A 19,729-nucleotide genomic window follows, 5' to 3' on the forward strand; every position below is an offset into this window, starting at 1 on the left:
GGTTGCAACTTCTGGGGCCTGGGAGTGGATGGCAGACTATTGAGTGTTCACCTCTAAGACAATCCTATCTATCTCTTTCCATCAATGCTGGCACCTTAAGATTTCTCAGCTCTTCTCCACTGCTCTGGAGAAAAAGACTAAAGCCCTAGCCTGGCCTGGAAGGCCCCGTTTGATTTGGCCAGTCTCTGAGATGAGAGGCTCTTGCATCCTCCTTTGTGGCTTTAGCCACCCACACTGGGCTCCAGTCCCACTGGCCTCCCCCTTACCCCAGGACCTTTGCATAGGTTATTTCCGGTGTGGAGTGCTCTCACCCACCATTGCCCCCCTGCCTAGAATTCTGCATTGTCCAACAGAACTTTCTGCAGTGATGGAAATAATCTGTCTTCTATCCAATGCCATCCAATATGCTAGCTACTACTGAGCACTTGAAATGTGGCTGGTGTGACTGAGAAGCTGAAACTTTTATTCTATTTCATTTCAATCCATTTAAATTTAAATAGCCATATGTGAATAGTGGCTACCATATTGGACAACACAGGGCCCTAGGTTGACTACTACTCATCCTTCAGGTCTCAGTTCAAATATCACTTCCTCTGTTGAACTGCTGAGGCTAGACGAAGGTTCCCCTATTATACATTCTCACTGTGTCTTTCATTTAGGGACACACAACAATGTATAATGATGCATTCTGCAAGAATCCAATTAATGTCTGTCCCTTCTTTTTTTTTTTTTTTTTTTTTTTTTCAGATGGAGTCTCACTTACTCTGTTGCCCAGGCTGGAGTGCAGTGGCACCATCTTGGCTCACTGCAACCTCCGCTTCCTGGGTTCAAGCAATTCTCCTGCCTCAGCCTCCTGAGTAGCTGGGATTACAGGCATGTGCCACCACGCCCAGCTAATTTTTGTATTTTTAGTGGAGATGGAGTTTCACCATGTTGGCCAGGCTGGTCTCAAACTCCTGACCTGAAGTGATCCACCCCCATTGGCCTCCCAAAGTGCTGGGATTACAGGCGTGAGCCACCGCACCCGGCCTAATGTCTGTCTCTTCTATTAGACTGACCAGTCTAGGAAGGGAGGAACCATGTCCACCCTCAGTGCTGGCGCACCTCATTGAGAGGTACAGTTCTAAAAGCCCGGCTCAAGTTAGTCTGTGCAGGTACTGCTTCTCTTTCCTGGGAGTTGCATTAACTGCTGGGTGTCACAGTTGGAGTTGAAAGATTTTTTATTATTATTATTACAAATTAGACACACAGCAGCAGGTGTGGAGGGGCAACAGAGTCACATTTTCCTCCCCCCTTTAAGGACTAAGGCAAGTTGATTAATTCTTCCTTACCTGGATAAAGTAGGCATCAAGGCTTTTTTCTAAAGTCCCATAGGGAATGTGTGCGTCTGGAGAGGGGAGAAAGGATTAGTGACTTGTTTTCCCATCCTCAGGGGCACAAAAACATTGGCTCCCTCTGCCACTTTCACACTGGCAATGAGAAATGGCAAACTGTCACTTCCATTACATAAGCATATCTACCTATGCCTTCCTTAGTTCTTGCCTCAAATTCAAAACAAAAAGTCTTAATATGTCAAAGCAATAACACCCTAGTCTCTTTCCCAGGAATAGTTTCTGTAAGAACAAGAAATTTATCAGGAGAAAGGAACAGAAACCAGTATTTATCAAGCACCCTACTAGTTCCCAAATGACAATGACAAGTATTTTCATATCCAGTATTGTATTAAAATTTCAGAACAAATGGCCTAGGTAGGCACAGCTATCCCCACTACACAGATGAGGAAAGTAAGACCCAGTTCCACATCACACTGACAGTAAGGCAAGGGTGGAAGCCAAAGTCAAGTCCAAGTCTGTCTTACTCCAGAGTCTGTGCTAGTCCATTGATTCTCACTGCTGCCAGGGTTTCTTAGACCACCAAATTAGATATGTCCATGATACTGGTTTATTTTTTCCCTGATTTAATATATCTCCATTATTGTTTCCTCTCATTCCTTGCTTTCCTGCTTCTTTCTTGAGAACATGGTTGTACCTTGACCTCAGTTGGCTTTAATTGCTTCTTCTGCATCCCATTCTCCCCTCAAAGATCCTGGTTCTCCATGGGGGAGTGAGGGCTGTGCTATTTATGTGGAGTTCCATGCTGGAGCTGGCTATGACCCTACGAGCCCGGGTCTCTGCTCCCTCCCTCTCCCCTGACAACTTGTGGGCTGTGTATATGTCAGAAAGTTAGTGGCAAGAGTTAGAATTCCAGGCAGCTTTTTGTCAGACAAAAGCATCAATTATCATTATGTGAATGGCTACTTCGTTATGTGCTATAGTGGCTCTGCTGAGCATCCCAGGAATAAGCTATCAAATCCTTAGAATGACATCCTTGGAGTAAAAAAGTGCAATTTTAAAACAAAACCAAAAAAGGCCTGTTTCCACTATCTGCCAAATAAAGCTCAGGAGGAGTCTTGCCCACACATATACACTCCAGCCCTCTCCCCATGAGATTAATCTGAGTATCTCACCATTTGAAACTGAAACACACAGTAGTGAAGACTTTTGTGTTTTTCTATTTGTAAACCTTACCTTCCTCCAAATACTTTTTTTTGTTGGCCCAGAGTAAGTGAAATTATCTTTGTTTTCCTTATACAACAATTTAGCTTTAACACACCACACACACACACACACACACACACACAAACACACACACACAATTAATGTAGCTAGAAAATCCTACCCAAGCTACAGGAGACTACAAGATCTGAGCTCAAAGTAAATGTGTATTTATATTATTAGGTGGTCATTCCATAAAAAGATTGCTTCTAACCAAATATGTGCATGCATGTATGCATACACATACACACACATATATTTATCCGGGGAGTGTTTTCAAAGAAGGGTTTTCCCCCCATACTTCTGGCAGTTCAGGTTTAAAGGTCAGATTTAAACTATCACCATGTTTCACAATGCAATCTGTGCAGTGCCGCGTAATGAAATGGTTCAGTAAAGGTGCTCATGGAAATTCTTTTAATTAGGTCTAAGGCTTTTCAGTTGTCAACATGAATAAACCAAGAAGCATTCTCTTGCAAACACAACACACAAAATTAAAGTGTAAGTTACCTTTGAAAAAACTGATATGCACTTGCAAAAGGAAACTTATATGTTTTTTACAACACAACATCCACCAATTTTTTTTTAAAAAAGTGGACCAATATCTTTCAAGAACAAAATGGACTGCAAACCAAAAATAAAAGGATTGCTCTATTTCTAATGAACCAGAACATTAATGCCTTTTCTAATGGAAAGTATTTGGAGGAAGACTAAAGTTAATCATAATTAAAAATGTTTATCAAGAGACTAACGACTTTCTTCATGAGCAAAAGCCACCTTTCCATTTAACTATAATTAATTCTACAGATCAGCAGTATCTCAGTCAGACATGTGAATGTCTCACAATGACTCTGGCAAATTGAATGACATATATTAAAAATGAACCAAAATGCACTTCTGCCCTCAGAGCCACTATCTGAGGCCCAAAAGATGAGCATATCACAGCAGGAATGCCACCAAGATGCCTGCTTCCCTAAAGCCGTGTTAACAAACTAAACCATAGAGGTGTAGAAATTTTAACCATCAGTTCACAGCTAGAAATTGAAATTCACAAAACTCTAAGAAAACAGTAGGTTGCTTGGGGCACTTGGGTTGTATTTGCACTGAGCTTTGAGAGAAAAGCAAAACTAAAACTATTCCAGTCACCACCAGGAGTTCAGATTTAGATGAGTACAAAGGTGTTCACAAATGCCAACCAAACTTCAGACCTGACATGGAATGAGACAACTCAGATGGAGCAATGGCAGCATGTCATAAACATGCATAATAAATCAATGTCTTGATTGATCAATGGATGAATATATTCTAGTGACCTCTAGGCATGAGGGGACCACACTTTACAGTACATGGATTTACTCTGGGCTCAGCCCGACCTGAGTTCAAATTCTGGCTCTCCTCCTGGCAATTATCTGGATGCCTCTAGGCAAGTTACTTGGCCCCTTTTCTTCATCTATAAAAAGGGGATAAAGTACCCTCCCCTTCTTTTTTTTGCAGGATTCTTATGTAGATTAAATGTCAAGATTTTCAAATCCCCTAGCACAGTGCCTGGCACACTGTAGGGGCCTAATCGATGGTGACTATTCTTCTGCGCTAGCTCAACTCCAAAGCCAAAACTACCCAAGCCTTTATTTTAGCATCGAAAAGAATCATGGGTTCACAATGAACATATTCTAGGGCATCAATTACTGAAATGTCACTCATTATGCTGAGCCTAGTGGATTTACTTAGTGACCCAAACTTGGTGTGTATTTGGGAGTTAATGAAGAGCTTGGTGTTTACAAAGATAAAAGTGGGGTTTGTCTCAGCCACAATCCTGGGCTGAATGGATACAGATTTCCCTGCTTAGGGATGTGGCCAGGCCGGATTCATGGTGGATCACATGGATACATCCACACAGAGCGAGATATCTCCCAAGGGGATCCGGGCATCTCCACCTCCTCAGGGGAGGAAAAAAAAACAAAACAGGAAGGGGGGTGGGAAGTGTGTATAATAGATGTGTTTCACAGTGTCCCCGCTGTGATGAACAACTTGATCCACTTACAGTTCCAAACACATGATGCATAAAAGAGCTGACAGAAATTCAATTCTTGCAAAGAAAAGCATCTGCTCTCTAGTGGGAACGGCCAAATATTAAGCAGTTTTAAGGCAGGGCAAAGACCTAGAGGAGCACACTTCATTATCTAGATAGCTAGAGTAAAGAAATGCAGAGGATTACAAACGAACGAAAAAGTAGCCAAGATTCCAAGCATTAATTACCCGGGGTAAAATGATTCAAGTTAAATCTTTGTTACGACAAATATTAAACCCAGCTGTGTTTATGTAGCAGTTGTGAAAAAGAAGAAAAAAAGAAATCCGTGTACAATATCTGTGAGCTCTGCCAGTTAATTGAATTCGCTGGCAGCACTTCCTCCACCACGAGCCAAACATCCTCAAAGATAAAATGTAGCTTTTAAACAGACCTGGGAAAAACAGAATCAAGAAATTTCAACCAATAAAACACAACTCTTTACTGGTATGAAAGTAAAGTAAAATTCAGTAATGAAAGGAAGGAAGTCTCTTAAACATTTACTGCATTCCAAAGCTTGGAATTGTGGTTTATTGCTGAGGTCTCTTCTGATGTCCCACAGTGCTCCTGCTCCAGCATCTTTAATGAAGTCCCATAAACTCCCATAAAATCCTCGATCGTTGACAAATCATACACACACGCTTAGGGCAAGGCTCACTGGATCACGATGCTCTCTTCCTGAATGAATGAAATTTACAAGTCACAGCATGGACAGTGTCGCCAAGTGGCCCAAGACAGAACAGGGATGGACAAACAACTCCTGAAAAGCACAAGGGATGAATGACTGGATGCTGGTCACAGGTGCTACTAAGAATTCTCTCTAGCACACTGTCCCCTGACCCCAAGTCCAATATCAGTAGACGTGGGGTGGGGGAAAGCTTTGGTCAGATTCTAGCAACCAGCAAAGCAGCAAGAGGTGGGATCCAACACTCGACCCTTAGTCTGGGACTCCTGGTAGCATGAATTTTATCACATCATTCCCTGGCTTAATCACCTTAGTAGATGCCCCACTGCCCCAAACTTGAAGTCCAAACTTGTTTTTGTGACCATTCCCAATCTGGTCCCTCCTGTCTATTTGGGTCTCATCTTTTGTCCCTCCCAACCACACACCCTATGTTCTAGCCGTAATAAACTGTTAATTCCTGGTTCACACCTCCAACCTCCATGCATTCAGTTCTCATCCCCCAGTGTGCTCATCGCTCCTTTCCAGGAAGGATGACTGTTTCTCAAGTGTTTCCATGTCCCCATGGCTCAATACACTGAGCATACACCCAAAAAACTTTGGCTAAATGAATAATGAACAAATAATCTCCATACCTGAAGTGGCTATAGATCTGCCCATCTGGAAGACTCTGAACTAGAAACATCCAGAGTCTCCTGTGTATGGAAGCAAAGCTGTCAGTAAAAAGTATAAATGGGTAGAAGAGCAATGGCAAGAGATGAGGTAGGAGAGATGGGCAGAAAGTGGATTACAAAGGCCCATATTATGGAGCCTGAATTTCACCAAGAGAAAAATGAGGCACCACTAAAGGTTTTCAGTTGGGGAGTGGTCTCCATGCTCTGTAATACACCTTTGTTTATAGCCTGGAGGATGGATGGGGACTGGAGAAGTGGGGGCAAGACTGGCAGTCCAGCCTGCATTAGCTTTTCTACTAACCAGCCTGGGACCTCACTGAGAATAAAGGTTATGTCTTAATCACCTCCATACTCATTATACCCAATATAAAGCCTAGCACATAGTAGGTGCTCAGGAAATGCCTGCTGAATGAATAAACACTCTATCAGAAAATACTAACAAAAATGCATTAACAGGGTAGAAGTATCAAGTCCATAAAAAGGCCTAGTCCCTCGCTTCTGGAATCAAATGCATTGTTGACTCACAGGGAAAGATCACACACCAGTTCCTACAAGCCCTGTAGAATATCTCGAGAGTCTGAGGGTTCTGGGCCTTTAAAGAAATATGGCGTGGAGAAGGCCAGGGCTTGAGATAAACATGAAGTCTGTAAACACGCCTTTAGATCTAAAAGAAGGAGTATTCTTGCCATATTTTTCCTCCAAAATCCATAGCTAGGGAACAATGCAATATTGTCAGTGAAAACACTACTTTGGCAACTTTCATGGAACATAGCAAGGTATAAGGCATTAACCTTGCCAACCTCATTTTTTTTTTTAGGGTAAAACAAAGCTAACTCAGACAAGATTATACATTTGAGACTAAATTGTCTAGGCATCTAGCACAAAGCCGAGCCATCCTGCCTCCAAAGTAACCCTTTGCTCATGTACATAAATCATCTAAAAATCAGCAGAGTTGTTCTGAAAGCTACTTAATATTGGAACTCCACCTTTAAAATTAATTTCCAAGGCTGCTACTTTTAAAAATTAACTAAGTCATAACTGATATATAATAGAATGCATACACTTAAAAAGCACAGTCCAGTGAGTTTTGACCAATGTCTACACGTGTGTAACCACCTCCACAATCAAGAAACAGAACAGTTCCTTCACCACAGAAGGTTGGTTGGTGCCCCTTGGCAGTCAGGCCCTGCCTCCTCCATCCCAGCCCAAGGCAACCACTGATCTGCTTTCAGCCACTATAGACTAGCTTTCTCTCTTCTATTTTTACATACATGAAATCCTACAGTGCTGTGTGTCTGGTTTCTTTTGCTCAGTGTGAATTAAGATTCATTCATGTTGCTTGGTGTATCAAACGTTTGTTACTACAGAATACTGAGTAAATACATAAACATAAGGGATATAATACATTGTTTATTTATCCATCTACCATTTGATAGACATTTCGGTTACTTTCAGTTATTGTTCTCTATGAATACAGCTGCCATAAACATTCATGTACAAGCCTGTTTGGATATAGTTTCATTTCTCTTGGGTGAATAGCCAGGTGTGGGATTGTTGGGTTGTATGGTAGGCGTAAGTTTAACTTCATGAGATATTGACAAACTGTTTTCCAAAGTGGTTGTACCGTATTGTACTCCCATCAGCCGTGATGAAAGCTCCACATAAATGCTTCCACATCTTTGACAATACTTGGTGTTGCCAGTGTTTAAATAATTTTAAAGTCAGGTTTATTGAGGTATGATTTACATACCTTAAGATTCACCATCTTTAGTGAATAGTTCTAAGAATTTTGAAAGATACATGCAGTCATATATCTATCACCACAATCAAGATACAGACGGTCCATCATCCCCCAAATTTCCCTTGTTCCACTTTTAGTCCTGGCAACCACTCAGCTGTTTCTAGCTTTATAGTTTTGCCTGTTCCAGAATACAAAATAAATGGATTCTGTCACTTCTAATGTATTTGAGATTCATCCATTTTGTGGAATAGATCAGTAGTTAGTTTCTTCTTCTTGATTGTGGAGTAGCCTTCTATTTTATGGGTATACCACTGATTGTTTTTATATTAACCAGTTGGGGGACGTCTGTATTGTTTCTGGTTTGGGTTGCTAAAAACATACACATACATACGTTTTCCTTTTCTTGGGCAAATACCTAGGTGTGGGATCGCCTGGTCATACAGTAAACATATGTTTAAAATATACATCTATAAGAAATTCAGCCTTTTTATTTTAGCCGTACCAGTGGGTATGCAGTAGAACCTTGTTGTGACATTAATTTGTACCCTCATGACTAACGATGCGGAGTATCTTTTCATGTGCATGTTGTGATGTGTTTCTTCAAATATTTTACCCATTTTAATTGAGCTATCTTCTTGCTATTGAGTTTTGGAATTTTTAAATATATTTTGGATAAAAGTCCTTTTTTAGGTATAAGTGTTAAGAATATTTTATCTCATTTTGTCTGTGGCTTGCCTCTTCATTTTTTAAATGATGCTTTTGGGGAGCATAAGTTTTTACCTTTCATGACATCCAATTTATCACTTTTTTATTTATGATGTGTGCTTTTTATGTCCTAAGAAATTTTTGCCTACCCCCAATTCATGAGGATTCCCTCTCATATTTTTTTTCTAGTCATTTGATTGTTTTTGCTTCTATTTTTAGGTCTATAGTCTATTTTGAGCTAATATTTGCATGAGGTAAAAGTCAAGGCTTCTTTTTTTTCCATATAGATATCCAGTTGTTCCAGCACGTTTGTTGGAATAAAAGATCCCTCTTCTTTCCCTTTTGAATTACTTTGGCATATTTGTTGAAAAATCAATTGACCACTTATGTGTAGGTCTAATTCTGGACTCTTAATTTTGTTCTATTGATTTATATGTGTTTCTACACTGTCTTGATTACTGTAACTTTATAGTGAGTCTTGCAAACAGGTAATATAAGTCCTACAACTTTGTTCTTCTCTTTCAACATTGTTTTGGCTATTCTAGATCTTTTGCATATTCATATACATTTTAGAATCAGCTTGTGAAGTTTACCAAAAAGAAAGCCATCTGGAATTTGGGTTGGGATTATATTGAATCTATAGATCAATTTAGGGAAAATTAACATCTTAAAAATATTGAGTAAAAAAATATTGAGTCTTCCAATCCAAAACATGGAATAGCTCTCCATTTATTTAGGTCTTTTAAATTTTTTTTCAGAAATGTTTCATAGCTTTCAGGATACAAATTTTCAACATATTTTCTTAAATTTATTCCTAAGTATTTTGTGTTTTGTATGCTATTTTAAATGGTACTTTAAAAAATCTCATTTTCAATTGCTTGTTACTAGTATATAGAAATACATTTGATTTTTGTATACTGACTTTATCCTGCACCCTTACTAAATTCATTTATGAGACTCCTTAGAATTTTCCATATACACGATCAAGTTGTCTGAATAAAGAGAATTTCACTTCTTTCTAATCATTAAGGCTTTACCTCTTTTCCCTGTCTTAGTGAACTGGTGGGAACCTCCAGTACAATGTTGAATAGAAATAAGAAGAGCAGATACCTTTCTTTCATTCTCGGGGGAAAGAAATCAGTCTTTCACCATTAAGTATGATGTGAGCTGTAGGTCTTTTCTAGATGCTCTCTATCACAGTGAGAATACTTCATTTTCTAGGAGTTCTTATCATGAATATTGCCGAATTTTTCCTAAATTTTTTTTTTCATATATCTTGTTATTATTTTCCTTTTCAGTTTACTGATATAATAGATTACATGGTTTTTCAAATATTTAGCCAACCTGTATTCACATCTTTTAAAAAAGGTTATTATCCTTTTTTATATATTGCTGGATTCAATTTGATAATATATTGTTAAAGATTTTTGCATCTATATTGGTCTGTAGTTGCCTTTTTTTTTTTTTTTTTTGTTTGTAAATTATTTATCTGGTTTTCAAGTTGGGGTAAAGCTGACCTCATAAAATAAGATGAGACATCTTCCTTTTACTTCTGTTTTTTGAAAAAGTTGGTGATAAGATTGTGTTAGTTCTTCTTAAATATATGATAGAATTCACCAGGGAGGCTCTCTGGGCCTAGGGTTTTCTTTGTGGGAAAGTTTTACAGATTTAAAATTCTTTAATAGAAATAGTGCCATTTTTCTATTTCTTCTTGAGTCACTTTCTGTAATTCAAGGAATTTGTTCATTTTACCTAATTTGTCAAAATTGTAAAGTTATTCATAATACTCCCTTCTTTTTCTAAAATGAACTTTCATTTTGAAATATTTTTAGATTTACAGAAAAGTTACAAAGATAGTACAAAGAGGACCCATATTCTCCTTACCCAGTTTCAGTTTCCCCTAAACAGGGGTGTTAAAGGGAGAGAATGCAGTCATGGGTTCTTAGTTTGTTTCTGGTTGGGCCGGCAAAGCCTCTTCCTCATCCCTCTTTTCCACTTATCACTAGAGAGAGAAACTAAAAGCTATGGCTTTGGGCTGCTAAAAGCCTAAAACAAAACAGAACAGCCACAACAACAAAGTGGGGTGGGTTGGACAAGCTTGCATATCTTAGATTACCACCACACATTTGTCAAAACTAAGAAACTAACAATAGCACATTAGTATTAACTAAACTCCAGACTTTATTGTGATTTCATCAGTTTTCCATTCATGCCATTTTTCTATCCCAAGATCCAATCCAGGATCCTACATTGCATTTAGTTGTCATGTCTCCTTAGTCTCCTCTGGTTTAGAACAGTTTGTCTTTCCTTTGTTATGACCTTGACAGTTGTGAGAAATGCTGGTCAGATATTTTGTAGAACAGCAGTCCCACGACCTTTTTGGCACCAGGGACCAGTTTCATGGAAGACAATCTTTTCATGGACTGCTGGGGGTGGTGGAGAGGTGCAAGGGAGGATGGTTTTGGGATGAAACTCTTCCACCTCAGATCATCAGGCATTAGATTCTCATAAGGAGCACACAACCTACATCCCTTGCATACAAAGTTCACAACAGGGTTCATGGTCCTTTGAGAATCTAATGCCGCTGCTGATCTGACAGGAGGTAGAGTGCTCAGGTGGTCATGCTCACTCGCTGCTCACCTCCTACTGTATGGCTGGGTTCCGAACAGGCCATGAACTGGCACCAATCCACAGCCCAGGGGTTGGAGACCCCTGTTGCAGAATGTTCCCAAATTTGAATTTCTCAGAAGTCTCTGCATGATTAGAGTGGATTTTTGGAAAGAATACCACAGAAGTGAAATATCCTCATTACATCACATCAGTGGTTATATGATATCCACATGACATCACTGGTGATGTTAAAATTGATCGTTTGGTTAAGGTAGTGTCTGCCAGTTTCTCCACTAAAGTTACTCTTTTTCTCTTTACACACACAGTTTTTTAGGAATAAATACATTCTAGCCCACACCCAAGTAGGGGCAAGGGGCGATTAAGCCCCTTCTGGACAGGACAGTCTTTACAAATATTATTTGGTATACTTGTATAAGGATGATTTGTTTCTCTGCCCCCCAACTCTCTTTTGATCAGCATTTGGCTGGTATATCTTTTTTATCCTTTTACTTTTCATCTATTTGACTCTTCATATTTAAAGTAGAATTCTTACAGAAATTATACAATTGGGTCTTGCTTTTTTATATAATAACCTCTGTAAATTGGAGTGTCTAGACAATGTATGTTTAATGTAAAAACCAACATAGTTGAATAAATCTATCATCTTGCTAACTTTTCTATTTGTTCCATCTGTTGTCATGTTTACTCTTTCCCCACAAAATGTTTTGGACCTTCAATACTGGCTTATTAGCTATATATCTCTGTCTTATTTTTTCCTCCCTTAGTGGCCCTTGTAAGGTTTACAACATAAATCTCTAACTTAATACAGTCTACCTTCAAATAATATTATGCCAGTTTTTGTATACAGGTAACGTAACAACCTTTAAACAGAATACTTCTATTCTCCACCCCCTACTGGTATTATTACCAGCAGAATACCTCCACTGGTATTATTTTTACTTGAAATACTCAATTAACTTTTTTAGAAATTACAAATGAGAAAGTAAATTTCTTACATGTATCCATATATTTACTATCTGTGGTTCTCTTCACTTCCTTACAATTCAGATTTCCCTATAATATCATTTTTCCCCGCTGAAGAACTTCTTTTGTAGTGCAGGTCTGCTGACAATGATTTCTCCAATTTTGTATCTGTTTTAAAAAGTCCTAGTTTTGCCTTTTTTTTTGAGATGGATTCTAGCTCTGTTTCCCAGGCTGGAGTGCAGTGGGGCAGCCTCGGCTCACTGAAATCTCTGCCTCCTGGGTTCAAGCGATTCTGCCACCTCAGCCTCCTGAGTAGCTGGGATTACAGGCACCCGCCATCATGACTGGCTAATTTTTGTAGAGACGGGGTTTCACCATGTTGGCCAGGCTGGTCTTGAACTCCTGACCTCAGGTGATCCACCTGCCTCAGTGCTTTCATTTTTGAAGGATATTTTCACTGGATATAGAATTCTGGGTTGATAAAAATTATCTTTCATTACTTTAAAAATGTCATTCCATTGTCTTCTGCCTTAAATGGTCTCTGGCAATAAGTCTGCTAGAATTACTTCTCATACCTTTTTCTCTCTGGCTAATTTAAGCTTTTCTTGGTTTTGAGCAATTAATCAAAATGTATCTTTGTGTGGTTTTGTTTGGGTCCATTGTGTTTCAGGTTTATTGAGCTTCTTGGAGCTCTGAGTATAATTTCATCAAAATTGAAAAAAAAATCAGCTATAATCTGTTAAAATATTTTTTCTGTCTTTCCTCACCTTCCTTACCTTCTGGGACTCCAGTTGCAAGTATGTTAGCCCTCTTGATATTATGCTATAGGATCACTGAGTTTTGTTAACTTTTTCCAGTCTTTTTTCTTTCTTGGCTTCATATTGAGGAGTTTTTATTGCTATATCTTCAAATTCACTGATGTTTTATTCAGTGGTATCTCATATCCTCTTAATCCCATAAGTGATTTTTTTTTCATTCTAGGTGTATTTGTTGCTTATAGATGTTCCCTTTCATTTTTAAATATCTTCCATTTCTCCCTTCATTTAATCAGGTCTTCCTTTAAATTCATGAACATATTTATAGTCTTCATAAAATCTACTTTAAAGTCTTTATCTGCTAGTTCTATCATATCTGTCACTTCTGAGTCTGTTTCTATTGACTAATTTTCCTCTTGTTAGGGGTGACATTTTCCTCATTCTCAACATGTCTTGCACTTTTAAAATAAGATGTTAGATACTGTGAATGTTATGTTATCGAATATTGGATTGTGTTGCCTTCTTTTAAAGAGGGTTGAAGTTTATTTTGACACAAGGTTAGATTTCTTGCACATCAGATTGATCTTTTAAAGACTTCTTTAAAAAGAAATAGGTTTGTTTAAAACTTTTCATCGAAGTTTAACATACACACATAAAAATGCACACACCATTGGTGCTCAGCTTGACGAATTCACCCCCATGTAACTGGCACTCAGATTAAAATCCAGCACATTTTAGGACCCCTAAAGCCCTCTCTTGTGCCTCTCAAAGCTTAATTTTAAGCTCTTTCAGGGCAGGGCTAAAATGATCTTTATAGCTAATTTAGATGTACTATCAAGTCATGCCCTACTGGTGTCTCTTATCATTGTCCTGAATGACCAACAAGATCTCTGACTCTGGTTGGTCAGAACCTGCAGGATTCCTAGACTTGTGTGAGCTCTGAGAACTGTTCATCTTATAGTTTCCTGTCAGGAGTTTTACCCTACATATGGGCAGATTAGTCTTCAGCAGGTTTGTCAATTCAGGTTTCTGGAGCTCTTCAGCTGAGTAGCTCCCTCCTGTCTGATACTCTCACTTGCAAATGTAAACCATCTCCCCTTCAAACTGTTCTTTAATCTTTCAGCTCCCCAAGACTGTTGTGCTTTGCTGGGGATTCCCCTTCTAGTACCAATATCCAGAAAATGCCTCAAGGCAGAAAGCCAGTGGGATAGTAGGCCTCACCTCACTGGCTTCCTTTCACTCAGGGATAACAATCTTGTCTTGTCTGTTGTCCAACATGTGAAAACAGCTGTTTTCATATTTGTCCAGAGTTTTAAATTGTGGGAGGATTAATCCAGTTCCAATTATTCTATCATGGCTGGAGAGCAGTGGCGCAATCACAGCTCACTGCAAACTTGAATTCTTGGCCTCAAGCAATTCTTCTGCCTCAGACTCCCAAAATGCTGGGATTATAGGCATGAGCCACCATGTCTGGCCCCAAGCCTCTTTTAATAAAGTTTCCAGCGTAGATGCCATGTTTTACAAGATTTCATCTACCATAATAACCCAATCCATATGTGCCTTCCATCCTTCCATCTATCTATTCAGTGGCTGCTAGATTCTTGGAAAACAAAGATGAATAAAACTCAATTACTGCTACTCCAAAAAACTGACAAGTAAAAGGGAAATGGGCAATAAATCAGTACAATTACACAAGGTACACAAGGGGCTGTGGGGACATAGAGAAAGATATGGTCAAATCTACGTGAAGGTCAGAAAAGATTCAGTGTGTGTTTGTGTGTGTGTGTGTGCATGTGTTTGTGTGTGTGTGTGATTAAATACTTGAGAGCAGGTCTTGAAGAATGAGTGAGAGATTAATAGATGAGGTAAGACACTGGGACAAAAGAAATGCTGCATACAAAGTATGAAGTTATGAAACAACATGTAAATTTGGGACAACCATTAACAGTTCTAAAAACCTACAGTACAGAGTTTAAAGCAGGGAGGAGAGAGAACTACAGCTATGGAGAAACAAAAACAGGGGGGTATCATGAAGGAGGGCTGAATGCCCTGCGGATCATAATTCACATCCATAATTCATCATCATCAGCTACTGTCGATTGTGCTGATAGGATATATGTTTTAAATATATTATATATATTACATTTAATTCTCAAACAACCTTATGTGGAAATTAAGTCTTAGAGAGCTTAAGTAATTTTGCCCAAGATCACACGGACATGAAGTGAGGAAGCCAGGATGTGAAAACAGGTCTGTTTGATTTCAAAGCCAACAAAGGGAAGTTGCCTTGAATCTCTAGGTAATGGGAAGTTATAGGAGAATTTTTTTGTCCTTAAATGTTTTTTTGAAAAATTACATTCACTGATGGAATAGTTTTAGTTAGGTGGGAAATGGAGTTTATGTTTTTAGAAAGGTCACTCTGGGGCATGAGGCGGAAAGATTGGAGGGATGAGGCTGGAGTCAGATGAGCCAGTCTTGAGTCTGCTGGTAATAATGCAGGGGGAAAATAAAAGCTTAGATTAGGTGGTGTTTAGGAGGGATGAGGAAGAGGATGTGGATTTACCAAATGTTTAAGAAGCAGAATCTGTCAGAGTAAACACACAACTTTGGCCAAAGGGGAGATTTTAAGGTCAACGATGGATAGGCTGATACACTAAAATTACCAGGTCCTATGCCAAATGCAGGGGACACAAAGACAGGCAGGGCACGATTTCTCCTCTTGATAGCTCATGTAGCATCACAGAATCAAAGCTGTGAATTCCATTGAAATACAATAAATACCTTACAGACCACATCTCCCCCCATTACAATCTTCAGAATCCTTAATGAGTATAGAGGCCCAAGCTGGAAACCACTGCTGTAGAACATTCTCAACCCTGTTACAAACCAGCTTGCATATAGGAGGTCCCATTTGTGCACGCTGAGACTGTCAGGACATAGAGGTTATTAACTGTCCTCCAATCTTGCCTATAATTATCAGCAACAATTTTATTAAAAACAAATGCAGGTACCATTTCTTGAATGCTGACAACATGCAAGCACTGTGCCAAGCATTTGATAATCATTACCATAGCTGTTTGCCATAATAATCCTCAGAGCAAGCCTGGTACTCCTCTTTTAATGTGGAAAACTGAGGCTCAAAGAGGGAAAATAACTCACCCAAGTTACTTTGGTTCCCTGAGGCTACCTCATTTTGTCATTTAAAAGGCATCTTGGAATTTGCCATCTTCAGAAAGACTCCATTATCCTCCCCAAAATTTTGTTACTCTCTCTCCTGGGCCCTTCTGTGCCCGACTCCTATTTCCCTGTGGTCTCTATTATGCTATACTGTAATAGATATGTAATTGACATATCTGTTTCCTTTACTGACATACAATCTTTGAAGATCTGCTTTCTCTTTGCTGCTCAGTGCCAGCACAGGGTCAGAGCAGTGCAGGTGGGACCAGTCAGTCCACTCCATGGTTTCTGAGCTGCCAGTCACTCATCTCATGCTGCCCCAGGGCCCTTGGCCATTTCCTGCACCTAACAGACCTCAGGTTCACTTCCCACATTCACTAGGCATTTGCCTGGTCCATGCCTGAGATATCCATGGCTTCAAGAGGTGCTTGTCCACTGAAAGGAAACAGGGATGGGAGCCTCAGATTCCTTGGACCAAAAGAACTCAAATTATAGCTAGTAGGCCCTAAGGTACCAACCATGTACTACCCTGTCCTGACATGATTCTCACACCTCACAGGTCCTCATTCCTGTCTGACACTTTAAATTTTCCTAAGTTCTGTCATCTCTTGCTGCCTCAGAGGGAGGCGGGATACATAGAGTAGAAGCAGCACAGACTGGGGGTCCAATCTCAGCTGTGCCCCTAATCACCTACAGGATTTCAGGCAAGGCACGTGCTCTCTGAGGTTCTCTCCTCTCTGTAGAAAGGAGAGATCACCTGTTCCAAAGGGCTACAACACTAACTGTCATTCAGGATGAATGACATCCTAAACGCAGAAGACACCTAGTAGGGCAGAGGGGCCATGTGGGCTCTGCAGACCCACGGGGTTGAGTTCATGCCTTGGCTCCTCCTCTCTCTAGCTCTGTGGGTCAAGCGGGAGTAAGGAAAAGACCATCCTCAGAGTGGCATGAAGAGTAAATGAGAGGTCAATGATGGGAGCTCAGTGCAGTGAGCCAGTGAATGGCAGCCATTGTTGAATTATAAGTGGAGCACTGCTGTAGGGCACAAATGACTCCCCCAAAATCTCACAGTGAGTTAGGTGGAGAGAAGTTTGAAATCCTGTTACGGCTGGGCACAGTGGCTCATGCTTGTAATCCCAGCACTTAGGGAGGCTGAGATGGGCAGATTGCTTGAGCCCAGGAGTATGAGACCAGTCTGGGCAACACAGCAAGACTCCATCTCTACAAAACGTAGCTGGGTGTGGTGGCATGTGCCTACGGTCCCAGCTACTTGGGAGGCTGAGGTAGGAGGATCAGTTGAGCCCAGGAGGCAGAGGCTGCAGTGAGCTAAGATAGTGCCACTGCACTCCAGCCTGGGTGACAGAGCCAGACACTGTTTCAAAAAAAAAAAAAGAAAGAAATTCTCCTGCAAGACTTCATCAACTAATAGCAATCCTTTCAGAACAGCTACCCACAGGGTGCCACTGGGCCTTCTGGCAGTGATGGTGCACCAATGCCCACCAGGTAAAACACTTCCCCGACCAGGACACATATGAGCACCACATGGCCAGGAACAACAACCCGTTTCACTCTGGAAGTCAGGATAACTCTATAGATCTTCTTGCAGGCAGAGCTACGGAGGCCAAAGCAGAAACAGCAAAACCACACTTGCCGGTGAGGCCCAATCCTCACTGGCATGGACAAGGGGAGAATGGGTCTACCTCACACAGCTGCCTACAGGGCAGCTCCAAGTAGCAACAGAAGACAGGTGTATAGGCAGATGTTAGCATGGCAAATGTGGCAGCCAGCTACTTTTTGCTCAATAGAACCCACATTCTGTGTAGACCTGAGGCAACAAAGTGCAATGCGGAGGGTGCACAGCTACACTGACAGCACTGCCACCCGATACTCTACCATGTTCTAGATGGTCTAGGAAAAAAATGTAGGTTTGAAGTACCCCAAATTGTTCACACTGAAAACCCCGCCAGCTGCCTTCTGTGCTGTTACTTGGAGGGAGCTGCCCTGATCTCTAGAGGTGGCAGCGTGCTGGGGAGAGCTGGCGAGACTCTCAGACTCCCACAGGAAGAGGAGAGGTCTGGACACTAAGGTCACTTCACAGTCTTTCTGATGAAAGTTCAAGTCAAAATAGACTCAAGAAATAAACCTTCTTCTAACTTTCTTTTTTTTTTTTTTGAGATGGAGTCTTGCTCTGTCGCCCAGACTGGAGTGCAGTGGCACGATCTCAGCTCACTGCAACCTCTGCCTCCTGGGTTCAAGCAATTCTCCTGCCTCAGCCTCCTGAGTAGCTGGGACTACAGGCACATGCCACCATGCTCAGTTAATTTTTTGTATTTTTAGTAGAGACTGTGTTTCACCATGTTAGCCAGGATGGTCTCACTTTCCTGACCTCATGATCTGCCCGCCTTGGCCTCCCAAAGTGCTGGGATTACAGGTGTGAGCCACTGTGCCCGGCCATTTCTTTTTTATTTTTTTGAGATGGAGTCTCGCTCTGTCACCCAGGCTGGAGTGCAGTGGCGCAATCTCAGCTCAATGCAACCTCCACCTCCCGGGTTCAAGTGATTCTCCTGCCTCAGCTCCCGAGTAGCTGGGATTACACGCATGCACCACCATGCCTGGCTAATTTTTGTATTTTTAGTAGAAACAGGGTTTCACCATGTTGCCCAGGCTGGTCTCGAACTCCTGACCTCAGGTGATCCACCCGCCTCGGCCTCCCAAAGTGCTGGGATTACAGGTGTGAGCCACCATGCCTGGCCACCTTCCAACTTTCTACACTGAGACAAAGGTTTCAATGCAGAAACAAACTGCAGTTCTCAGGTCACAGGAAAACCCTCGCTATTTCCCCTCCTTCCCCATTCCCCAAAGTCACGTTCATTTCCTTTGCAGGAGCTCACAGAAGTGAGATCCTCGCAAGCTCATTACCTACCACGTCGTTTGGGAGGCTCTGGAGGTCATCGAAGGGGGTTTCCAGGGTGTTGGTGTCCACATTCAGGATCACGACATCATCCAGGGCCATGTTTCTGACTTTCTGCAAGGAGAAAAAAATCCACAAGAGAAGGTCATTGAGGTGCCATCAAGACACACTTCCCCTGCCTTCTCTGGGGAAGAGGCATAGAGAAGGAAAGTGACATTTGACAAAGTCTTACTCTGCAGCAGGCCCAATGGTAGGAGGTTCACATTTGTTAGCTCACTGAACTCTCATAAAATCTCTGTGAGCTTGCATGACTATCCCCAAGTCCCAGGAGTGAAAAGGGTTCACAGAGGCTCAGTAACATGCCCCAGGTCACATAGCCAGAAAGTAAGAGGAATCATTACACCCCATCATCATTTTTCCCCTATATATTTAACAGACGCTGAGGTCAAAAGCTCTGTCCCCAGGAATGCTGATATACGGCTGTGTTCTTATGATATCCCCATTCAATCCAGCCCCCTAATTTAACAAAGGCTACTTGCCCATCTCTCTTTTGGATCCTGTCATTCTTGGGTATGGAATATTGTGTGTGGCCTACTGTTAACACTTCCCTTAAACGCCAAGTAGGAAGGTCACACTTTCAATTTGGTTCCATTTTCCACAGATATCCAGTTAGTAATGGCTCAGAAGCTCTGGCCATAAGCCATTATTCTACTGGCACAGTAATAGAAAAGATGAGGGAAACTCATGCCTACAAGGTTTTCATGCTTGGTGACAGGAGAAGGGATGAACGGACAATATGGAGAAAAAAAGAATCCTGCCCCCAATCTGGCAGCA

At 41.0% G+C, this 19,729-nt stretch overlaps 1 protein-coding gene and 1 long non-coding RNA gene across 43 annotated transcripts in view, besides 1 other annotated feature; both read right to left on the minus strand.

Annotated features, from left to right (window-relative positions):
• DENND1A (DENN domain containing 1A) overlaps positions 1-19,729 on the minus strand; it is a 550,469-nt gene that overhangs the window by 184,604 nt on the left and 346,136 nt on the right. For all 42 annotated transcript variants that reach the window (XR_007061334.1, XR_007061335.1, NR_148208.2 and 39 more), the window contains one exon: positions 18,908-19,009. Coding sequence is in view for 39 of the 42 variants with exons in the window: in NM_001352965.2 (NP_001339894.1) it covers positions 18,908-19,009 (102 nt within the window). In the remaining 3 variants the exon portion in view is untranslated. The remainder of the gene's footprint in view (positions 1-18,907; positions 19,010-19,729) is intronic.
• On the minus strand, positions 2,995-18,172 carry LOC105376266 (uncharacterized). The gene is made up of 2 exons (XR_930332.3): positions 5,974-18,172; positions 2,995-5,334 (listed from the first exon to the last, which is right to left on the minus strand). It is a non-coding gene; the product is annotated as an uncharacterized LOC105376266 (long non-coding RNA).
• Positions 7,065-7,144: a silencer, noted in NCBI's record as "silent region_20251". NCBI's record gives its function as "represses an Ori minimal core promoter by ATAC-STARR-seq in GM12878 lymphoblastoid cells {active_cell/tissue: GM12878}" and the evidence as "EXISTENCE:reporter gene assay evidence [ECO:0000049][PMID:35858748]".

Source organism: Homo sapiens, chromosome 9 (genome assembly GCF_000001405.40).
Source record: "Homo sapiens chromosome 9, GRCh38.p14 Primary Assembly".
In the NCBI taxonomy this organism is placed as follows: domain Eukaryota; kingdom Metazoa; phylum Chordata; class Mammalia; order Primates; family Hominidae; genus Homo; species Homo sapiens.